This window comes from Homo sapiens, chromosome 9, assembly GCF_000001405.40.
Source record: "Homo sapiens chromosome 9, GRCh38.p14 Primary Assembly".
NCBI lineage: Eukaryota > Metazoa > Chordata > Mammalia > Primates > Hominidae > Homo > Homo sapiens.
In genome coordinates, this window is record NC_000009.12 from 32603640 (window position 1) to 32628533 (window position 24894).

Consider the following 24894-nt stretch of genomic DNA (forward strand, 5'->3'; position numbering starts at 1 on the left):
GGCGTGAACCCCGGGGGGCGGAGCCTGCAGTGAGCCGAGATCGCGCCACGCACTCCAGCCTGGGCGACAGCGAGACTCTGTCTCAAAAAAAAAAAAAAAAAAAAAAAAAAAACTCATATGATAATAGACTTCAAAAACAACAACAAAAAAACCCAAAGCATCCTTATAATGACACAAAATATTAGAGTGGCATTAAAATGTGTCCCAAATATATAATATCATTTTCAAAAGATGTCGCCGTCTAAAAGCAACTGAGCTGAACATCTCTGACTTCACCATACTTTGCATTTATTTATCTTACAAAGTGAAACTAATTCTTTCATTACTTTTAGAGATTAATTCTGTGTGCTGACTTCAACAAGACGATGTTTTGCATTTGTGCTCAGCCACATTTTAAGCAACACCCTGAGAGAGTCAGTACTGTGTGCAGGGATTCAGCTGCACAGTTCACATCGAGATCAGCAAAAGGGTGGATAAATCCCTAGGTGCGGCTTTAATTTTGTTGCCAGGAAAAAAAAAAAACAAAAAACCCAACCAGTGTTCAGAGGCCATCAGGCTTAGCTTCTGCTCTGTGCCTCTGCGAAGTGCAATGCACAGGAAACAACACATCCTGGAGCCCCGACCCACTCTGAATTACAGCTGCCTGCCAGGCCCAGGAGGCTTGGTCCTAGGAGTCCAGCAACCAGGCTGTGCAGTGCGGCTGGGTCGAAAATTCCTGAGGGCTGATTATCTTCTTCTCAGCAGTTGGCAGGTGTGCGTCACCATCAGCTTAACTCTCCCTGTGTTCCCTGGATGACTCACAATGATCGCTTCCCATGTCACCTTAACCTAGTGAGCAAATTAGGAAGAGTTGTTTATTCATTTTAAACTATGATAATCCCTTCTAGTCACAATAGCTAAAGTGGTCATATGGCCACTGGCCATCACTATTGATCTTCTGGTATGTGTTGGGTATAGTTATGGAGGCAGAGTAGCAGTGGCCAAACACCTGTGTTCCGGGTTCAGGAACTGAAACCCTGGCTCCACCACTAACTATCTGCATGGCAGGGCAAGGTCCTTAACTTCATTAAACCTCCGGTTCCTTATTCGTAAAATGAAGACAATAATGGCACCCATTGGGAGGACTTAAAAAGCTAATACTGTGTATAGGAAAATTCTTAGCCCCATGTTAACATTCTCACTGATGCAGCTGCTGAAGATGATTAACATCTATTTTATTTAAGAAAGTTGATACCAAAGGTTTACATTTATATATTTTCCTAATTTAAAAAAATATTTTATATGACACATAATGATTTGTACATATTTATGGGGTGCATAGTGATGTTTCAACACATATGATGTATAGTGATAAGGTCAAGGTAATTAGCATAGCCATCATGTCAAACATTTATCATTTCTTTGTGTTGGGAACATTCTATATCCTCCTGCTAGCTATTTGAAACTATAGAGTATATTATTGTTAACTATCATCATCCTGTAGCGCTATATAACACTAGAACTCATTCCTTCTATCTAGCTGTAATTTTGTATTCTTCTACAAATCTATCCCTATGTCTCCCTTCCCTCTCCTTCCCAGCCTGTAGTACTGAGTTGCTTTACCAGTGATTAGGAATATAATGAAGTACTTCTGAAACCAGATGCTTTTTATTTTCAAGCTTTAAGCATTTATTTTCAATTGTACAAAACCATCTTGTTTCATGGATGAAGACAGAGAAATATAAGGCTTGCCTGAGATCACAAAGCTGACTAGAGGTAAAAATGCTACTAAAATTCTAGTGTCCTGATTTTCTTCCCAGGCTTTTTTGTCTCCATTGCCCTGCTTTTCCTTGTATGATCATATTCATCAGCGGAGACTCTCATATTCTAGCCATGTTCCTACAGAGCCATTCTAGATGTTAGTAATTTCACTTTTTGGCTGTTATAACAGAGAGCCTCAAAATAACACTGGGGCTAGCCTCAGTGGCTCATGCCTGTAATCCCAGCCCTTTGAGAGGCCTAGGTGGGTGGATCACTTGAGGTCAGGAGTTCCAGACCAGCCTGGCCAAGATAGCAAAACCCCGTCTCTACTAAAAATACAAAAAACTAGCTAGGCGAGATGGTGGGCAGGAGAATTGCTCAAACCCGGGAGGCGGAGGTTGCGGTGAGCTGAGATTGCAGCCACTGCACTCCAGCCTGGGCAACAGAGCAAAACTCTATCTCAAATAAATACAAAATAAATAAAAAATAACACTGGATTAAACAAGATACTTATCTCTCATGTTAAAATCCAGGTAAGCAATCCAGGGCTGGAATGGAGGCCCTGCAATCACCAGTTGCCCAAGCCTCCTGTGTCTTAATGCCCTGCCAATCTCAGCACCTAGTATCTGTTTTTGGTCTAAGGATGGCTACCCTCACTTCCACCTTCCCATCAGTGAGGATGTGGAAAGAGGTAAAAGCCTGGCTCCATTTAAGAGAACATGACATTTTTGCTCACATCCCATTCTTCTGAACTTAATCACATAGCTACATCTAGCTGCAAGGGAGGCTGGAAAATGGGACTCTTTGACTGCCCCCTGTGTAAGAAGGGGAGACTGGATACTGGAGTATAATTAATAGTTGTTGACACATGGACACCCTAAGCTTTAAGTAGTATGATATTTTTACAAAAATACTAGAGTTTTTAGAGTTTAATACAACAGCTAGAAGGTGTACATAGGTCCTAAGCATCAATGAAGGATCATTAATCCATTTCTCAGAATGTGATTCCAGACAGCAGCTTCCATCTGAGGGTCTACAAAGGTGGCATGGGGTTCTGCACATTATTACAAATATTTACCAAGCCAATGTATAAAAAGACAGGCAATAACAAATATTGACAAGGATGTAAAGAAACTGTAGCTCTTGTATTCTGCTGGCGGGAAAATGGTGCAGCCACTTTGTAAAACATTTTTCAGTTTCTTAAAATACTAAATAGAGTCACCATATGACCCAACAATTCAGCCATTATTATCTACCCAAGATAAATGAAAATCTACATTCACATGAAGATTTGTATATGAATATTCCTGAGAACATTAGCCATAATATCCAAAAAATGGAAATAACCCAAATGTTTTAACTGGTGAATGGATAAGAAAAATGTGGTATATCCATACAACAGAACACTATTCCAGTCATAAAAAGGAACAAAGTATTGACACATGCTTCAACATGAATGCATGTCAAATACATTAAGTGAAAGAAGACATAAACAAAAGACCATGGTTCCATTCATATGAATATAAATATATGAAATATCCATCACAGACACATCAATAGAAACAGAAAGCAGATCAGTGGTTTTGTGTGGCGGGGGTTGGGGGTGGTGCTGAAGGTGGAAATAGGAAGTGACTGCAAATGGGAATGAGGTTATTTTGGGGGTGAAGGAAATGTTCTAAAATTCCATTGCAGTAATGATTGCAAAACTCTTTAAACTTACTAAGAATTATTAAATTATACACTTTTATTTTTAGAGATGAGGTCTTGCTACATTGTTCAGGCTGCTCTCGAACTCCTGGCCTGAAGTGATTCTCCTGCCTTGGCCTCCCAAAGCTCTGGGATTACAGGCATAAGCCACCATACCCGGCCTGTTTTTAATTTTCTTTGCAGCCTTAGGAAATCTAGAATTCAAGGACACACCATGATTAGTTGCTGGGGATATTAAGTGGTTAAAAAAGCTGTGGCCTGCGCAGTGCTCAGGGATGGGAACAGGTGAACCAGGAGAGTGGCAACAAGCAATGGTAAGAGAAAACCCAGAGCAGAGTAATCACGCTGGACCCTTGCTGGGAGAACTAACCTTAAGGGGTGTGGAGGAGAGGACTCAAGTAGATAACAAAAACAGCACTCAGAGATATTCCCCAGTTCCCTGTGGTCCAGCTCAATCTTCTACAGTTTTCATGAGACTATACCACGCTGTGAGAATTGATATTCCTAATCATTCATTAATTCTTCACATATGCATCCACAAAGATTTCTTGAACCTCCTATTGCCAGGAGTAAGGATGTTCCTAAGAGCCCAAACCTGGTTTCTCGTTCTACCTCAGCTGCTTGTTCGAGTACAGGTCTCATCTCAGTATAAGTTTCTTCTTTCTTTTTTTTTGAATTTCAAAGAGCCTATATCTTCATGAATTTCATGAAAAAAAATTAAATAAACATGAGGTCTAAAATTTGCTTCTTGTGCCTGCAATAAATCTTTCCAGGAAGAACTACCTTCCCAGGTTTTTTTATCCTTTTGTTTTCCTTCCTTAATATTACAAAGTCCTTTCTGAGGTCATAAACCTAGCAACAATATACAACTTTAGACTTAAATGTGAAAAAACATTAAATGACCATAATTGACTCAGGATGAAGTGATCTAATCTGAATACCAATAATAAATTTTAAAAAATTTTTTCTTTATTCCTTCTAAAAAAAGAAAAACAGGATACATGTGCAGAACATACAGGTTTGTACATAGGTATATGTGTGCCATGGTGGTTGGCTGCACCTATTGATCCATTCTCTAAGTTCCCTTCCCTCACTCCCCACCCTGCAAGCAGCCCTGGTGTGTGTTGTTCTCCTCTCTGTGTCCATGTGTTCTCAGTGTTCAGCTCCTACTTATGAGTGAGAACAAGCAGTGTTTGGTTTTCTGTGCCTGTGTTAGTTTGCTGAGGATGATGGTTTCCAGCTTCATCTATGTCCCTGCAAAGGACATGATCTCATTCCTTTTTATGGCTGCATAGTATTCCATGGTGTATATGTACCACATTTTCTCTATCCAGTCTATCATTGATGGACATTTGGGTTGGTTCCATGTCTTTGCTATTGTGAATAGTGCTGCAATAAACATATATGTGCATGTGTTTTTATAGCAGCATGACTTATAATCCTTTGGGTATATACTCAATAATGGGATTGCTGGGTCAAATGGTATTTCTGGTTCTAGATCCTTGAGGAATTGCCCCTCCAATAATAAATTTTTTAAAAATCATAGAATTCACTCCAAAGAAATCTAACCCAGGTAGCTTTGTGGGCGAGCCTTTTTAAATATTAAAAACACATATGATTCTCCCTCTATAAACTCCTTCAAAGTTAAAATGGAAAACCTACCTAATTATAGACAAGAAACCAAACAAACAAAACAAAACCAAAACCTAAAAATACCTTGGTACCAAAACTTAAAACAACAGCAACAACTATAAACCAATCTTATGTGTCAATACAGATGCAAAAACCTTGGGTAAACTACTTACAAATTAGGCTGGGTGCAGTGGCTCTGTAATTCCAACACTTTCGGAACCTGATGCAAGAGGATTGCTCGAAGCCAGGAGTTCAAGAACAGTCTGGCCAACATCGCAAGACCCCATCTTTAAAAAAAATTTAAAAATTAGCCGTGAGTGAGGGAGAGCTGGGCACAGTGGTGTACACCTGTAGACTCAGCTACTCAGAAGGCCAAGGTAGGAGGACTGCTTAAGCCCAGGAGTTCAAGGCTTCAGTGAGCTATGATAGCACCACTGCACTCCAGCCTGGGTGACAGAGCGAGACGACATCTCTAATAAATAAAAAACAAGAGAGAAAAAAAATTACAAATTAAATTAAATAACATATTTAGGGACTTTCCACCATGTTCAAGTAGAATTTCCTCAAAAAATATGAAGATTTTTTTTTTTTTTTTTTTTTTTTAGTATTCAGAAATATACTAGGCTGGGCATGGTGGCTCACACCTGTAATCCCAGCACTTTGGGAGGGTGAGGCAGGCGGATCACCTGAGGTCAGGAGTTTGAGACCAGCCTGGCCAATATGGTGAAACCCTGTCTCTACTATAAATACAAAATAAATTAGTCAGGCATGGTGGCAGGCACCTGTAATACCAGCTACTAGGGAGGCTGAGGCAGGAGAATCACTTGAACCCGGAAGACAGAGGTTGCAGTGAGCTGAGATCACGCCACTGCACAACAGCCTGGGCGACAAGAGTGAGAATCTGCCTCAAGAAAAAAAAAAAGAGAGAGAGAGAAAGGAAAAGAATATCCTAATATCGACATTTGTGACAGACTAAAGATGAGGACAGGCCGAGCACCGTGGCTCACGCCTGTATTCCCACCACTTTGGGAGGCTTAGGTGGGCGGATCATTTGAGGTCAGGAGTTGGAGAGCAGCCTGGCCAACATGGTGAAACCCCGCTTCTACTAAAAATACAAAAATTAGCTGGGCATGGTGGGAGGTGCCTGTAATCCCAGCTACTCGGGAGGCTGAGGCAGGAGAATTGCTTGAACCCAGGAGATGGAGGCTGCAGTGAGCTAAGATCACACCACTGCACTCCAGCCTGGTGATATAGCGAGACTCTGTCTCAAAAATAAATAAATAAATAAATAAATAAATAAATAAATAAATAAATAAATAAAAATGAGGACAAATTCTTTGCCACTCCTCCATTGAGAAGTAGGGTCTATTGGCCCTCTCCTGAAATCTGAGATGACCTGTGACTGCTTTGACCAATTTAGAACAGTGGAAGTGACACTAGGCCTTTAAGAGGATTGGCAGCAATGGCTGGATGCAGTGGCTCATTCCGGTAATCCCAGTATCTGGGAGGCTAAGGGTGGAAGATTGATTGAGGCCAGGAGTTTGAGACTAGCCTGGGCAACAAAGCAAGACCCCATCTATCTATTTCTTTCTCTCTCTCTCTCTCTCCCTCCCTCTCTCTCTCTCTCTCCACACACACACACACACACACACACACACACACACATACACATATATATATATATATACCTCCTTACTCTCTGTCACTCACTCATTCTCTCTCTCTATGTGTATATATGACTGGCAGCTTTCACGTTCAATTCTGGGAGCCATGAGCCACCTCTGAGAAGCTGAACTATTCTGTACACATAGAGAGGCTCTGAGACGACAAGGACTGGCCCATCCTTCTAGCTGTCTACACCAAGGTGCCAAGCAGGTGAGTAAAGTCATCTTGGACCCCCAGATGGCATCTTGGCACCCCAGATGGCAACTCCACATCATCAAGAGACCCCATTTGATATAGGAAGAGAAGAATACCTAGCTGAATCCTGCCCAAATTCCTAACTCACAAAATCATGAGATATAATTAATAAAATGGCTGTTGTTTATTTGTTACACAGCAATAGGTAACTGGAACAACACCCCAACAGCATGTGAACTGACAATTTACTCAAAAAAGAAAATGTCTAATTTATATATACAAATCTTCAACCTTGCTAGCACGCAGAGGGAAACTGACATTCCTATACTAGTGATGGGTGCAGAGTTTGTGCAACCTTTCTGAAAGTTAATTTAATCCACAAATTTCATTTCTAGGCATTTCTCCTAAGGAAATAATTCAGGAAGGGCACATATGATCTAGGAAAGATATTTTCTGTAGAGTATATAAGATAGAGAAAAATTGGTAACTGAGGTCAGAACTGTGGGAGATTTTCACTTTCTGCCTTACATTTCTTTTTTCCCCCTTATCATGTGTTACTTTTATTAAAAAAAAAAAAAGACATTATTTAAAAGGAGCTCTTTACATGGTTCGGCCTAACTGGAGTTCTGCTCTGGGGCTTGGGACCCACCCTCAGAGTGATAAAAACTCCCCATTAACCTGGCTGGTCCTCTGTGTATATAAGCCATTTTCTCCTGGGACCCTGTGGGAACAGGTATTTGGTAGCAGCTAGAATTCACATGCTCAGGATTCGATGTCCTAGCCATCTGCCTCTCAAGTTATAAATATCTATTGGCACTTGGAGATATAACTATGTATGTATACATACAATTTAAAGTTGGAATTTGTAAACAGAATAATTTTACACTTCTTAGGCAGCCCTGGAATCAACCACATAATACAGAGACCTTTCTCTCTTTTTTTTTTTTCTTCTCTTTTTTTTCTGAGATAGGGTCTTGCTCTGTCACCCAGGCTGGAATATAGTCACATGATCATAATTCACTGCAGTCTCCAACTCCTAGGCTCAACTGATCCTCCTGCCTCAGCCTCCCAAGCAGCTGAGACTACAGCCACGTGCCACCATGCTGGCTAATTTTTTGATTTTTTTGAGACAGGGTCTTGTTATGTTGCCCAGGCTGGTCTCGAACTCCTGGCCTCAGGCAATCCTCCTGCCTCAGCCTCCCAAATGCTGGGATTACAGGCATGAGCCACTGCATCAGGCTTAGACCTTTCTTTTTACCTGAATTTTGAATATGTATCATATCACTAATCAATGTCTTCCCCATCCTCCCCCCCAGCTCCCTGATTTGGTTTCTCTTGGGGTGCCAATCCTCCTGTCCCTTACTTCCATATTCCATATGTCTATTTATTTGTGTTACCCATGAAATTGAACACAATTAGGAGAGACTAGCACGGACCAGGCATTGTAATTCTCAGACCAGAAGTCCCTGGACTTCCAGGGCCTCCAAGCAGCTTCCTCTCCAAGTCTTGCTTTAACCCACTCCAGTTATCTGGAGAACTGGATCATATTTTCTTATTGTGATTGGCTTTTAAATGAACATGTAGCCATGGTAACAACTGAGTGCTGATGATAACGAGAAGTCTTATTTAGAGAAAACCTCTTTTTATTGTCAAAGCAGCTGTGTATGTGTGTTCTTATCTATTGGAATCAATTATTCATCCCATTAGTAAATGCAGCTTTCTCTTAAACTGTTTTTGTATTAGAAGCAGGATGCTGTCTATTTAAAAGAGAACTGGAATATTCAGAATGTGTGGGTAAACCAATCCTCCTAGAATAATTTGGGAACATTGAAAAATACGCGGGAAGCCGACACGATCATGAGGGCATTTCATCTGAGGAGGACGGAGACAAATAAGGGACTTGCCCAGTGTTTTGATTTCAAGGAATTATCAGTCAAGCTGTTTTCTTCATAAAAATAGAAATATCTTAATTTTTCCTGAAAACATGTTTATTGCTAAAACTTAAAAAATATAAAAAAGTCCCCCCACTTCCTGCTTATAATCTCATACCCCCCCAACTCTTAATAGTTTGTTATATACACTTACAAATATTTTATGCATGTATGCTTTAAGCATATACACCTTGTGGGGGGGAGGTGTGTGTGTCTGTGCATACACGTGTACATATTTAACTTTTAAACACAAGTGGAGTTTATATGAGTTAGGATTACATTGGGCTGTACATAACAGAAACTCTCAAATTATGACTTGAACAAGATAAATCTTATCTCTCACCAGGGAAAAATGACAGGGCTTCTGCCATTACATCCACATTCCAAGGAGCAGATTGGAGGAGAGGGAAAGGGGCATAATTCTCTCCTTTTCAAGGAAACTTCTGATTATACTTTATTGCCAGAATTTAGTTATATGGTCCCATCTTTGCAAAGGAGGAGGGAAATGTCATCTTACTGGTGGGTTACATTGTGCCCACCTAAAAATAAGGTCCCCCTAACTTGAGGGAGAAGACTAGAATGGCTACTTGGTAGGGAACTAACTCTCTCTCCCAGTGTTACACTATTCATAATGTTCTATAACCTCCCCTTTCCACTCAATACACTGTGAGTAGATTCATTTTTAACAGCTGAATAGTACTCTCCTGCATGACTATGCCACAGCTGGTTTAACCAAACCCCTGTTGATGGGTATCTCAGTAATTTTCTTTATCCCCCCGCCAGAAAGATATTTTCTACTCTTCATATGTGAAAAACACAAAGATAATTTCGACAATACCATAACTTCTGGTCTTCCTCTCACTTCTCTCAACATTTCTAATTTATTCAGTTCAGCTAAATGCACACTAATTAAAGCCATTTTCCTTTCCTGTGCTTTATCTAGAATGCTTCTTAAGGCTAGAGTCCCTTCCTGTCAACTCCTGTGGCTGCAAATCTCATCCCTCTGTAGTGAATCCTGTTCTCTCCATTGACTACTAATCTTTAACCTACTTCTAGCATTTTTTCTACAGATATACTTTCAAATGTCGCAAAGATATATATTCAAGAATGCTTATTACAACACTATTTGTAATAACAGCAAAAACAACCACAAAGCTGGTGGGAGCAGGTGTGGAACATCTTTCATTGGGTGAGTCAAGTAAATTATGCTACATTTATGTAATGCGATACAAGGCAGCCATTAAAATACATGTGGATCATTACATTGATCCACGTATATTGCTATGGAAAGCTCTCCAAGACAAATTAGTGAGGGGGAAAATAATAAGATGCAATGTATTGCATTGCAGAATGTATTACCACCTCTCTACCATAACATTATCATATTTGTGTTTAAAATAAGAAATGTAATACATGTGAACACATTCAGTAAAACTCCTCCTTAACATGATTAGCTGAGTATAAAAATTCATCGGCCCAAAATGTGTTTCCTTTATTGTCAGTTTAACGAAGTGATCCAGACCAGGAGCTGGGAGGGGTCTAGTTTTGAGACCCAAATCCGATCTGGTCCTAAATGAGATTGGCGACACCTGATGGCAATAATCCACTCTGGTTTAAGTATTGCTGGGATACAGCTTCTAGAACAGTAGCAGTGTTTTCAGAAATCCTCCAATTAGTTGGTTCCCATTTTATCTGGCCCCAATCTAAGGAGATAGTGCCCACAGAATAATGAAGATGTGGGAACCCACATTTCACATCCCCATTTCCAAGACTGGATGGCAAGTCACATTCACACACACACCCTCTCACAAGCACCACCAGCACCACCACCACCAACACCACTGCAGCCCACATCTCTGCCTGGGCTAGGCTTAGACAGGAGAGCAGCCCATCACTAAGGACACTCCGGGATAACTTTGCCATGGATTTCATTGCATACGCTTACATTTACTCCATGCTATGCTGTTTTCTTAAACCTTAGCATGCTAGGTTTTTTGTAAATTAGTCCAAAATTATAAAATTAAGCTGGAAGGAGTATTGGACATGAACAAATAAGTTACAGCTGAAACCACTTGATTTACAGTAATAAAAAAGAAACAAAAATATAGGATGCCTATCAAAGGGCTACTACTGAGAGAGACAGGGTTGCCCCAACAGGGCAATGAAAAGATTGGCAAGAAGACCAACAATCTTTATTTATTCATTCATTTATTTTTTGAGACAAGATCTCACTGTGTTGCCCATCGCTCCAGCTCAAGTGCAATGGCTCAATCACGGCTCACTGCAGCCTTAAACTCCTGGGCTTAAGCAATCTTCTCACATCAGCCTCCCAGGCACATGGCACATGCCACATGCCACCACATCAGGCTATTTTTTTTATTTTTATTTTTTTAATTTTTGTAGAGATCAGATCACACTATGTTGCCCAGGCTAGTCTTGAATTCCTGGGCTCAAGCAATCCTCCTGCCTTGGCCTCCCAACCTGCTGGGATTACAGGCAAGAGCCACTGCACCAAGCCAAGACCAACAGTCTTAACTGGAGGATCTCAAGTTTCTTGTATGGCAATTGATACAGAATGTACATCAATAGACCTTATCACACAAGCTAAAGGGAGAATTGATTGATTCAAAGACCCTCATCCAAAGATCAGCCATGTCCCAAATTCATCAGTTATCATCTTCACTTCCCACTGTACATCGAGAGCCAGGGAGATATAGAGGAGCTAGAAGTCTTCATGTGACTTCTGGGCATGTATAAAAGACACTGAGAGCTGGAAATGGACCTTCTAGAAGGCATCCCAGTGGAGCATGAGCTCCTTTACACAGCCACTCCAGAGTGATGCCAACAGACTGGCCACTCTGTGTTCGTGGTCAGCAGGCCATAGAAACTACGTGAGTGACAAAATGTATTAGTAGCAGTGTGTGTTGGAATGAGTCAATACAAAGAAGAACACAGGCAGGAGATGTGGCTTTGCAAATCACATATGTATATTGAAAATTGGAATACACCGTTTGGTGGCTTTGAGTCCTAACACTTTCCCCCCATTTCTTGTACTTGTAGAAATATTGTTCTCACTTTTTCCTGATTTCTTTGTTTCTCACTCTATTGTGCTTAATGATTGTATTAAGGGTTGTTTCTCCTTTTTCATGTATCCTTAGGAAATGAATAATATGTGTTGAAATCAAAAGACATATAGAGCACTGTTTTAAAATTATGTGTTAGCAATAGTCAATCATGAAAATGTTGTTTAGGCAAAGCAGTTACATATCTAGGTTTTTGTTGTTATATATATACATACATACATGTATAAAAATGTATTTATATGCCATGCAAATAGGAGTTTAGAGTAGGAACTCAGAAAATTCTTTCTGGGATTCTACTGTTATTCTAAGCAATCTTATTTCTCACAATTTTTCTTTATTACTAAATTATATTTTTAAATGTAAGTATTGTCAATTAGGGTGGTATTCATTAATCCATAAATAGAATGTATTATCTAAATCACTTATGGTTTACCAATATTCACATGTAGATTGAATACACATTTGTAAGACATGTTTTATTTCTGTGCAGGGGAAATAATTGATATTTAAAATTATCTTATTCAAGTCAACTCAAAACTGTGTGAAAAACCACATTAGCTTCCTAATCAGTAAATTAGAGCACTTCCAGATTATTAAGGATTTAGTCATCTTCTAAAGCATATGCATTAGTGATTATTATTTTCCTGTATCTCATGAGTGAACATTTTGGGATGGCTAATGACATATGTATAGTGCAAGCAGTTTCTGTTTCAAATTGACCAGCAAGAACTAGTACCTAATTTTATGCTTTGTCAGTGATACTTTGTTTATATATAAGAAATATTTATAATTGATAATAGCAATGGTAATAAGAAAAACAACATGAATTGTACTGAGATTAAAAACTCAGAAAAACTCACCTGGGCTATGGGACATGATGTATGCAGGAAGATAAAATTCAAGTATATTATTAGTAAGGCATGCTGCTTCGTCTTAAAGAGGATTTTAAAAAATATAATTAGAAAAAAGTATTAGTAACAACTGACTTTAGGCTGCTAAAGAGATTTTAGAATTAATGCTATTTTTTTGAGATGGAGTTTTGCTCGTTTGCCAGGCTGGAGTGAAGTGGCCCAATCTCGGCTCACTGCAACCTCCATCCTCTGGGTTCAAGCGATTCTCCTGCCTCAGCCTCCCGAGTAGCTGCGATTATAGGCACCTGCACCACGCCCAGCTAATTTTTTGTATTCTTAGTAGATATGGGGTTTCACCGCCTGCCTAGGGCTCCCAAAGTGCTAGGATTACAAATGTGAGCCACCATGCCTGGCCAGAATTAATGCATTTTATCATTTGTGAAATTTTCTTCTGGAATTGCAGAGCTTTGGGTACATATGGGACTGACTATTGAATGACAAACCATTGAACGTGTTATTTTAAAAAGGATAGAAGAGGCCAGGCATGATGGCTCACTCCTGTAATCCCAACACTTTGGGAGGCCAAGGTGGGCAGATCACTTGAGGTCAGGAATTCGAGACAAGCCTGGCCAACATGGTGATACCCCATCTCTACTGAAAATACAAAAATTAGCTGGACATGGTGGCGGGAATCTGTAATCCCAGCTACTCGGGAGGCTGAAGCAGGAGAATCACTTGAACCCAGGAGGCGGAGATTGCAGTGAGCCGAGATCGCACCACTGCACTCCAGCCAGGGCGATAGAGTAAGACTGTCTTTAAAAAAACAAAAACAAAAACAAACAAACAAACAACAGGATAGAAGAGACAGAAACTCAGAGAAAGCCCAAAAATCCTCGAATAGTTCAAAGGATCAGCATGATGAGGTCCTCAAAGAAGTTACCTCCAAGTTTGAGGAATGGAGATGGCTCACCCTCTAGGCAGGTAAATCAGCCGCCAGGTAGACAAATCTTGAGAGTAGAGTGGCAGAATTTCTTTTTTCATTTAGTAAAATAATAACCTACATGTCTTTGTATATAATTTTAACTAATCACTTTTTTCAACAATAAAATGCTTACCTTTCTATTTAATTACCTTAACACTGTGGAGTCCATTCCCCTTGCTAATGTTTTTATAGAGCACAGAGAATTCCACAGGATAATAAGCAAGTATTGGTTATTATGTTATTTGAGTGCCTGTATTATTTTCTGGGTCATACAAAAAAGTCTAACTGCCCTTGTGTGTGTCAGAAGTTTTGATTCAACTTCTGTGTTGAGCATCTCTTACACACTAGTGTCAGACTAAGAAATGTAACCAGCAAGAGGGTCACATTTCTTTATATTTCCAAATCAAGATAAATTAAGCTCAAGAGCCTCAATGTCTAAGGTTAGAGAGAAGTCATTATTAGTCATTTAGGGATGATGGAGGAACCTCTGGCTTACAAGATCCACTAAACAGAAGGAGGAGCCTGGTTCTCAGTCTAGGTTTCCTCTGCTGTCCCTGTTCTTTCCAAGGACCTGGAGATCATCTCCAGTATTAAGGGAAGTACAGGGTACATTAATGACGAATAATAGGATTGTGGAGACAGCTGGGGGAGGGGGACAAGGAAAACACTCCTGGATAAGTGACAGTTAAGCTGAGACCTGAAGAAAGAGTAGGATGTGACGGAGCTAAGGGAACAGGACCAGTGAAAAAGGAAGAGCATGTAGAAGACCTGGGGGCAGGACAGAGCCCGGCACGGAGAGAAGGCCAGGTCTTCTCCGTAAGCACATCAACATCAGCAGCCATTAACTGAACACTCAGGGGGACCACATCAGAGTACAAAGACACAGGAGCTCTTTCTCCTACCCTTAAGAAGATCACAGTGTGGGAGTAGAGCTGGGAAGAAATTGACAAGAACACCGTCTCTTACTATACAGTTTGCGAGGGTTGTAAAGAGTTAAGCAAGAAGAGTGGGCGTGGGGAGGGAGTGCTAATCCATCCTGGATGAGCTGAGCTGAGGAGTGACTGGGGAGGAGGTGATCATGAATAAGTTAAACTGGGAGAGAGCTGTTCCCAGGCACAGGGACAGGAGAGGTGCACCCAGTCAGGGAAACTCTCATGGTCTGAATGGCCAGAGGGCGCGTGTATGCTTCAAGATGAGAATGGAGAGGGAAGCAGAAGCCAGATCCTGAAGGATTTCTGTGCAAAGCTCTGGAGTCTGAACTTTACCCAGCAGGTCAGTGGTCTCAATGGAGGTGACACCACCTCTTTGAGAGCATTTTGGACATTTGTGGGAATGTTTTTGGTTGTTGTGAGATGGGTGGGAAGGTGACCTGGTATTCAGCAGACAGGGACCAAGGATGCTGGACATCCTGAATGCAAGGAACAATCCCACACAATGAAGAATCATTTCTTATCCCAGCAGGATTCATGTGGGTGACATTGCTGTTTATAATGAGCTGAGCTGACAACCTAACTCCTGTTTTTTGTTTTGTTTTGTTTTGTTTTTGTACATGGAACACAAAATTTGTTGTGGTGGTGGTGGTGGTAGTGGTGGTTTCATTTGTTTTGATATGGTTTTTGTATATTAGAATTTTCAGGAATGAAACTTCCTTGTAAATCAGAGAACCTCATTTTGTCTAGAACTTTACCAAGAGTGGTCTCCATTCTGGAAAATCTTGATGTCAATAACAATGCTTCTCGTGGTATTTGAGCTGCCAATGATACACAGATGCTCAGCTGTATACGTAGCTGTCACTCACAGTGCAATTCGACAGGAGCCTCTGACTACTTTATTATGTCTTCTTGTGTAGTCACATGCAAGCATTTGCAATAAAAATACACTCAGTTGGCCGGGAGCGGTGGCTCATGCCTGTAATCCCAGCACTTTGGGAAGCCGAGGTGGGCAGATCACCTCAGGTCAGGAGTTCGAGACCAGCCTGACCAACATGGAGAAACCCCATCTCTACTGAAAACACAAAATTAGCCAGGCATGGTGGTGCATGCCTGTAATCCTAGCTACTGAGGAGGCTGAGGCAGTAGAATTGTTTGAACCCAGCAGGCAGAGGCTGCGGTGAGCCGAGATCGTGCCATTGCACTCCAGCCTGGGCAACAAGAGCAAAAGTCCGTCTCAAAAAAAAAAAAGAAAGAAAAAAAATACACTCAGATTTGACTGGGCACAGTGGCTCACACTTGTAATCCCAGCACAGCCTGGGCAACATAGCAAGACCCCATCTCTATAAAATTTTTTTTAAAAGATTAAAAAAAGAAATATATACAGTTTAATTATAAATTATTTTCAGATTTTTCCTTTATATTGCCATTAAGGCATTAAGCATAATTTTTCAAAAGTGTGTATAGAATGGTTATATTATCCATAAATTTTATTTCTAGAGAGTAAAGGGTTGGAAAAATATATTTGAGATAATCATCATGTAGATATCAAATGAAGTTATAAGCAGTGATGAGGTCAATCAAAGACCAAATATAAAACACTGGTTACTATTTGTGGGGTCATAAGCATCTTTGAAAATTTAATGGAAGTTATAAACTCATTTCCTAGAAAGCAAGCACACATCTATCCAAAGCTACTCACAGAGTGTCAGTAGTATGCTCAGAGGTCAGCAGGAGCCCACGCTCTGTACATTACGGAGGAGTGCTTCTGGCCATACTTTCTTCTCAGAAGTGAAGAGCTATTCCGCATGTCATATACATTACCATATGGAGATCATCTTCTTTTCCTAGAAGGAGAAAGCCTTCTCCCTATCCATAGGAATAAATCTATTCTGTTTGACGAATAATAATCACCATGAGTAGGGCTTGGGGGATGTGGCTCCTCAAGGCAATGCCTGATGGCAGCAGATGGCCACTAAAAGGCTAGATTCTGCTAATTGAAAGTGTACGGCTTCACTGATTGTATATTCCTGATTTAGGGATCCTCAGAATACCCACTGTCCTCTAATCCCTGCAGCAGACAGGAGTGCCACCCAGAATCCCAGCAATGAATAGCACTTAGACCAGGCATGGTTGCTCATGCCTGTAATCCCGACACTTTGGGAGGCTGATGCAGGAGGATCACTTGAGACCAGGAGTTTGAAACCAGCCTGACCAACATCAGGAGACCCTGTCTCTATGAAAGAAAAATACAAAAATTAGCCAGATGTAGGGGCCACACCTGTAGCTACTCAGGAAACTGAGATGGGAGGATCACTTGGGCCCTGGAGTTTGAGGCTGCAATGAGCCATGATTGTGCCACTGTACTCCAGCCTTGGTGACAGAGCAAGACCTTGTCAAAAAGAAAAGAAGAATAAAAACGACAACAAGAAAAATACCACTTAGGCTCAATGTGGAACATTCCCTTCATCCCCCTTCTCCCCATGTGCCCTTCACAACCACCATTAGTATAGTTGTAATATATTAGAGTGTGTTTGCTTGTGGACACCAGAAAGTTAGAGGGATACTTATAATGGGGATGTACAAAGTTTGTTTCTATGTTACATTGTCTACTATTTTTTCAAGTGAAAATGTTTATTTAAATTATTTATTAAAAGTTTTCTCCCAAATGATTTGAAGTCACCACTTAGCATCAATAAAAATGAACATGACTCAATTGTCTATATATAAGTCAGTCTCCAAATATTATTAGATGTTTTATTTCTGTTTCTTCCTACCAATAATTTATGAAACCAATGGCAATACCCAAAACTAATTTAACAAAAATCAAAATCATCAAAACACAAGAATAAAGAAGTATGGAAAGAAAGAGGTGGGAGGAGGAGGGAGAGAGGGAGGGAAGAAAGAAAGAAACTACAGATAATAACAGACTAATAGAGAAAATTTAATTGTGTATGTTTAATATTCTGAAAATAGTTATTGTTTAATGAAAACTTGAAGTAGCAAAAACAATTGTGTCTTTCCAATTAAGAAAGAGGAAATAAACATGGGAAAACTCTTCCCTTTGGACGAAACAGATTTTAAAACAGCTGATAGTCACAGTGGAAGAGAAGGGAGTAGATAGATGGTGTAGAACTACACATGTTCCCCTAACTCTTTGAATTCTGTTACTTCATTCTTCACTACTCACTGAAATGATGTATGCTGGGACAACAAAGACAGTTGCCAGTCACCATTCCAGGACACCTGTATATAACATCTATTTTCTTACTATGAAAAAAAAAAGGAAGAGAAAAAAATTCACTGGGAAGCAAAATATGTGAAGACCAATATATATCTTTGAAACTTTTAATTAATAATATATATTTTTTTCTTGGGTATAGATCCCTTTGACCTAAATAATTTGGCATAGAATCTACAACATAGTTGGTATTCAATCAATATTTGCTAAATATACGAATGAACAAAAATATATTACATAGCCAATATCCTTAAATTAAGTACCTCAAGGTTATTTCTCTTCCAACGATTTAAGCATGTCTCCTGCTACAGCATTTTCAGTTTGCATTGCTTACACTTTAATTCCACTCACTAAGAGCTGAATTTAACATCTTAAAAAGAAACTGAATCGGCACACAAAGCAAACGTGTATTGGGAACCTACTATATATTAGCCTCTGCGCTTGCAGATGATTGGTCACTGCAAGGGGCATTAAGACAAGGTCCTGCCCTCAAGTCTCAAGTTTGTTTCTCCTTCTGGCTCTGGATGATATAAAACACTGGGCTAACTAGTGGGGGAGCTAGGCCTCACAGCAAATGCCCTTTCTGTGGAAATGTCCTTGGCTGTCTGGCCGTGACACAGGAGACCTAAAGCCAAACCATGGGGGACAGCAGGAACAACTGAGGGAGCACCAAGTCAGATGAGGAATGAAGCAAGTCAAATGGAAGGGAGGAATGGGAAATGACAGGGCTGAAGCCTGCACTGAGTATGAGGTTTATCATCACCCTGCTTTCAGGGCTCCCACATGTTCCAATGGCAACTCACAGTTGATGAAATGTCAGGCCAGTTCTGAACGGGTCAGTGCAGGTCCTTCAAAAAATGATTCTTCTGGCCAGGCACCGTGGCTCACGCTTGTAATCGCAGCACTTTGGGAGACTGAGGGGGGTGGATCACCTGAGGTTAGGAGTTCGAAACCAGCCTGGCCAACATGGTGGAACCCCATCTCTACTAAGAATACAAAATTTAGCCAGGCATGGTGCTGTGCACCTGTAATCCCAGCTACTCGGGAGGCTGAGGCAGGAGAATCGCTTGAACCCAGGAGTTGGAGGTTGCAGAAAGCCAAGACTGTGCCATTGCACTCCAGCCTGGGTGACAGAGTGAGACTCTGTCTCAAAAAAAAAAAAAAAAAAAAAAAGATTCTTCCAAGAATCTTCCAAGAAACTTGAGGAGTATTCCAATGTGTATTTGTTTATCCATTTACCAATAAACAGTTCCTATATTTTTACTATTATGAATAAAGCTACTATAAACATTTGTGAACAGCTTTTTATGTAGACATATACCTTCATTTCTCTTGGGTAACTATCTATTTAGAATTGGGATTGCTAGGTCCTGTGATAAGTTTATGTTTAACTTTTCATGATCCCTGTCAAACTATTTTCCAAAGTAGTTATACCATTTTGGATTCCCACCAGCAATGCATGTGAGCTCCAATTGCTCTGCACCCTCACCAGCATTTGGTATCGTCAGTTGCTTTTCTCTTTTTAAAAATTTGCTAGGTAGCTGTATGTCATTGTGGTTTTAATTTGCATTTTCTTGATGACTAATAACATTGAGCATCTTTTCATATGCTTATTTGCTATTCATAATTCACCTTTGATGAAGTGCCTGTTCAGATATTTTAGTCAGTTTTTTTTTGTTGTTTTGTTTTGCTTATTTATTTATTTAGAGAGAGTATCTTGTCCTGTCACCCAGGATGGGTTGCAGTGGTACAGTCATAGCTCATTGCAACCTCGAGCTCCTGGGCTCAAATGATCCCCTGACTTCAGCCTTCTGAGTAACTAGAACCACAGGTGCACACCACCATGTCCAGCTAATTTTTTTATTTTTTGTAAAGATGGGGTCTTACTATGTTGCCCAGGGCTGGTCTCAAACTACTGGCCTCAAGCAATTCTCCCACTTCAGCCTCCCAAAACACTGGGATTACAGGCGTGAGCCACCACATCTATCACATCTATCCTTTTGCCCATGTCTTGAATTGGGCTGTCTGTTTTCTTATTATTGAATTATGAGATTATTCAAGGTTTCTGAATGATTATGAGAATTCAAGTTTTCTGGATGCAAATCCTTTATCAAGACTTTATGATAAAGGACTTGCATTCATAATTCTTAAAGAATTCTCAGTTTTGCAAATATTTTCTCCCAGTCTGTGAATTTTCTTTTCATTTTCCTAATGGTGTCTTTTAAAGAGTGGATGCTTTTAATTTTGATGAAGCCCAATTTATCATTTTTTCTTTTACATTTCATGCTTTTTGTGTCCTGAGAAACCTTTGCCTATCCAAAGTCAAAAAGATTTTCTGCTTTATCTAGTTTTATAATTTTAGATTTTAAATTTAGGCTTATCATCCATTTCAAGTGAATTTTTGCATATGGTGTGAGGTATGGTTGAAGTTCTCTTTAATTGCATATGGTTGTTCAACTATTTCAGCACTATTTTTTGAAAAGACTATCATTTTTTTTCCATCACATTGCCTTGGTGCCTTCGTTGAAATCAATTGGCCATTGTCTGGGTCTATTTCTGTACTCTCTTTCTGTTCCATTAATCTATGTGTCTATCCTTTAATTAATACCACATTGTGTTGATTACTATGACTTTCATGTGATATAATTTTAAGTGGAAAAAAGCACCATACATAGTTTTTTAAATAACATGCTTACTATAAAAAATGTATATATATAGAAAAGACTGAAACTTGCAAAAATAAGATATGAGATTGTAGGTGATAATGTTCTCTATTTTTAATAGAAGTTTCTTTTATCCCTAGGACTAGGCTCTGGCTCTGCCAGGGAAAAATGGCAGGAAATAACTAGAATATTCTGCTTTCTCCAAAGTTTTTTTTTTTTAGAATATATCTGTTTGAAGAAAGAAGCCTTACTTATAACCACTTCACTGACCCACATTCACCTAGCTTCACTGAATGTATGTTCTTCTTGCAGTCCTTGGAAAAGTCATTGCCCATTGATGGCAAACTCTCCAGGGGTTTTGTTATTTCTCAGAATGCCGGCAATGTAGAAATATGTGGGATATGACCAATCAGACATTTTCATACCAGTCCTGTTTTATAATAGTTCTTCATTTAGTCACTCACTCATTTGTTCGACATTTAATTTAATAAATAATTAAATCCAACATTAAATAATTAAATGTTGGATGAATGAATGAGTGACTGAATGAATAACTATCTTTACTATATACCAGTAACAATATTGAAATTGCAAGATGAGAAAGGCAAAATCTCTGTCTTCAAGGTGCTCATAGTCTAGTAAAGAAAAGAGGTTCACACAAACAATGGCTCCACCGGTATCACAGTGCTAGGGTGGGTCCCTGTTTAAGGTAAAGTGGGGCATCACAGAGATAATGGCCTGTTCTGCTCACTTCCTGCTCCACTATGACTAGTCAGTGACTTCCCCTCTTTCCCCAGATCTAAGATTGTCCTTCTTCAGTTTCAACTCACTTTCAGGAGATGACCTTCATGATGAAGATAGAGGTCATCGGAATGGAACTCTCATCCTCATTGTCCTGCCGCCTAGAGAACAAACCTGCCAGCATCTGTACCCTCTCCTTCAGAGGGAAGTGTTCTCTTTCTAGCAAAGACGAATCCCTTCTCAGGGGAGAGATCCCACTCCTTCCAGCCATCCTAGGAGCCTTGTCCCACAGGCTATCCCCCTTCTCTCCTGGAACTCCAGCCTCTTCCTTTCTCCTCTGTGCTTAACTCTGCAATTCCATCACCTATTAAAGAAGAACCCTTATCTGATTGTACATTCCTTATCTGCTACCACCTGATTGTCTGTCCTCTTTTATTCTAAACTTCGTAAAAAAGAAAGTCACCTGCACAATGTTCCACTTTCTTGTAATACTTTCGTTCCTCATTCTGGCTCCTATGACCCAACCACATTTGCTCTTGCTAAGGTTGCCTATAAGTGCCATCATTGCTCAAGTTTGGAACACTCTGCAGTTCTCACCTCTTTACCTCTTATTGCCATTCAACACTCTCACCCTCTTCTATACTCTTCCCTGGACTTCACTGATTCCAGGTTTTCTCCACTTCTCTGAGCATTCCCTCTCAATCCCCTTTGCTATCACCTCTCCCCTTCCTTGAGTCCTAAATGTCAGAGTTTTCCAGGTTCAGCCTTGAGTATCTTTTCTTCCTAGGCAATTTCTACGACTTTAGAAATTATAGTCCACCCCTATGACCCCTATGACCCCTATGACTTTAAGTGCCATCTGAGACATCTTTTTGGATCTCCAAACCTACATGCTTAACTATTACCTGACATCTTTACTTGGTTGTTCCACAGGCACCTCAGATTTAACAATTTGAAAACCAAACATTTGATCTCCACTGCCCCCAGCCTATGCATTCCTTCAGGGGTCCTCATTTCAGGAAAATATACAAAACATCTGTCCACATGGTCATATTAGAAACTTGGTAAATGTCCTTAACATTTTATCCAGACATTCATGTTCTCCAGTCCTATGAGCACTGCCTTGAAATTAAATGTTGACTCTACCCAAACCTCTCCCTCTCCATACCACATCATTTCTTGTATAGTCTCCTATTGGTCTTCCCTTTGCTATAGTCACCCATTTCAATCTAGTCCCTACAGAGAAGTCAAAATCATCTTTTAAAATGTTAGCTATGACACATCATTTGCCATTTCAATGTCTTCCCCATCATACTTTAGATAAAATCTGTCCTCTGTAATGTAGACAATAAGGTCGGTCATGATTTGGATCTTGCCCACTTCTCCAGCCTCTTCTCACATTGCCTCACCTCAAGCACTATCCTGCTAAAGGGCATTAGCACGTGCTCCTGAGAACCCCTCCTCCCCCATTCTTCACATCACTAAGCCCTGTTCATCTGTCAAGTCCCTGCTTAAATGTAATGTCACCAAGCAGACTTTTCTTATCCCCATCAATCTAAATTACCATCAATCTAAGTACATTAATATCATGAAAATATTAATTTCTGTTTAGTTGTTTAATATTCATATTCCCCATCAGATTATAAGCTCTTTTAAGGTGGAGATCATGTGTTTCTGGTTTGCCTATGCCTCTGGTGCCTAGCTTTGTGTCTAGTAAATAGTGGTTACATGGGTGTATTAGCTCCCTATTGCTGCTGTAACAAATGACCATAAACTTAGTGGCTTTTTCATTTTTTTTTTTTTTTTTGAGATGGAGTCTTCCTCTGTTGCCCAGGCTGGAGTGAGTGGTGCAATCTCAGTTCACTGCAACCTCCACCTCCTGGTTCAAGTGATTCTCCTACCTCAACCTCCCGAGTAGTTGGGATTACAGGCATGCGCCACCACACCCAGTTAATTTTTGTATTTTTAGTAGAGACAGGGTTTCACCATGTTGGCCAGGCCAGTCTCGAACTCCTGAACTCAGGTGATCTGCCCTCCTTGGCCTCCCAAAGTTAGTACTTTAAACAACACAAATGTATTATCTGATAGTTCTGGGTATCAGAAGTCCTACATGAGTCTTACAGGGCAAAAACCAAGATGTCAGCAGAGTTGGTTCCTTCTGGAGGCTCCAGAGGAGAATCTACTTTCTTGCATTTTCCAGCTACCAGAGCTGCATTCCTTTCTCTTTCTCTGCCTTCAAACCCAGTAGTGTAGCATCTTCAAATCTCTCTGCTTCTGTCTTCACATCACCTTCTGTCTTACTCTTACTCTGTCTCTCTTTCCCCTCATCTCAAGATCCTTAACTCAGTCACATTTGCAAAGTCCTTTTGACCATGTAAAGCAACATATTCACAACTTCTGGATATTAGGAACTGATGATTCTTGGGGACCATTATTTAGCCTACCACAGTAATTGTTGAGTGAATTAATGAGTGAAGGGAGAGAGCCAGGAATGCTTCACAGGGGGAGAAATGTTTAAACTGTAATATGAGAGATTAATAGGTATTTACCAGGCAGACAAACAAAGGTTGCATTCATTCTAGGAATAGGGAAGTACATGGACAAAGGGCTAGAAGTAAGAGAAAGCAGGTTTTGTTTGGAGAAGGAAGCAATAGTGTCTTCTTGTACTGAGAGTTTGAGAAAGGATTTGAAATGAGCAGACAAGTCAAGGCTGAGTTCTACATCACTGGAGGTGTAGAAGATTGTGTAAAGACTGTAGACATTACCTTTAGGTGAGTCAATGCTGAGTCATCTGCATGCTTATTACAATTCAGTCATTCAAGATTTAACAAGCAATCATTGAGCAGATTTTTTATGCCAAGAGATGGTTAGGTACCACCTAAAACAGATATCATTAAACCTAAACAGACCAAAATGGCAGCATAAGAGAGAAGGGATAAAATATTGACTGGCTGTTAGAACATTAGTTTGGCGGTGTCTTATGTACCAGCAAGGGTAACATGTGAAAGATCTTATAGAAGCTCTGTGTAGTTGTGGCATTCTTCTATGTTTTAAGATGTTTTTAAAATAAAAGTAATACAAATTAGAAAATGAAAGCATGCAAAACAAAGAAAATAAAGATACATTTCTACTATTCAGAGATAAACACAATGAATATTTTGGTATATCTACTCCTAGAATTTATTTAATATTATGTACATGTGAAACTTATTACAAAGTATTTATTACGAAATATTGAGATATGCTAAAAGAAATAGAGAAAAATATAATGAAAATCCAGGTACCCACTACCCAGCTTAAGAAATAAAACATTATCAATACAGTGAAGATTCCCTGTTTACACACATTTCTGAATTTCCATCTCTCTCTTTTTTTTTGGAATTAAAAAATGTGTTACAAAAATAATACATACTTGTAAAACAATTCAAACAATACCGAAATAAAAGCACAATATCCCACCCAGCATACATAACAAACACAGAAGCCCTCTCCCCTCCAATCCCATTCCTGGGGGGTTATCATTGTGAACAGTTA

General features: G+C 39.9%; 1 long non-coding RNA gene across 1 annotated transcript; it reads right to left on the bottom strand.

Moving 5' to 3' along the window:
• Positions 1–267: 267 nt before the first annotated feature.
• On the bottom strand, positions 268–5362 carry LOC105376015 (uncharacterized). The gene is made up of 2 exons (XR_929553.1): positions 5253–5362; positions 268–828 (listed from the first exon to the last, which is right to left on the bottom strand). It is a non-coding gene; the product is annotated as an uncharacterized LOC105376015 (long non-coding RNA).
• Between the last annotated feature and the right edge of the window lie 19532 nt (positions 5363–24894).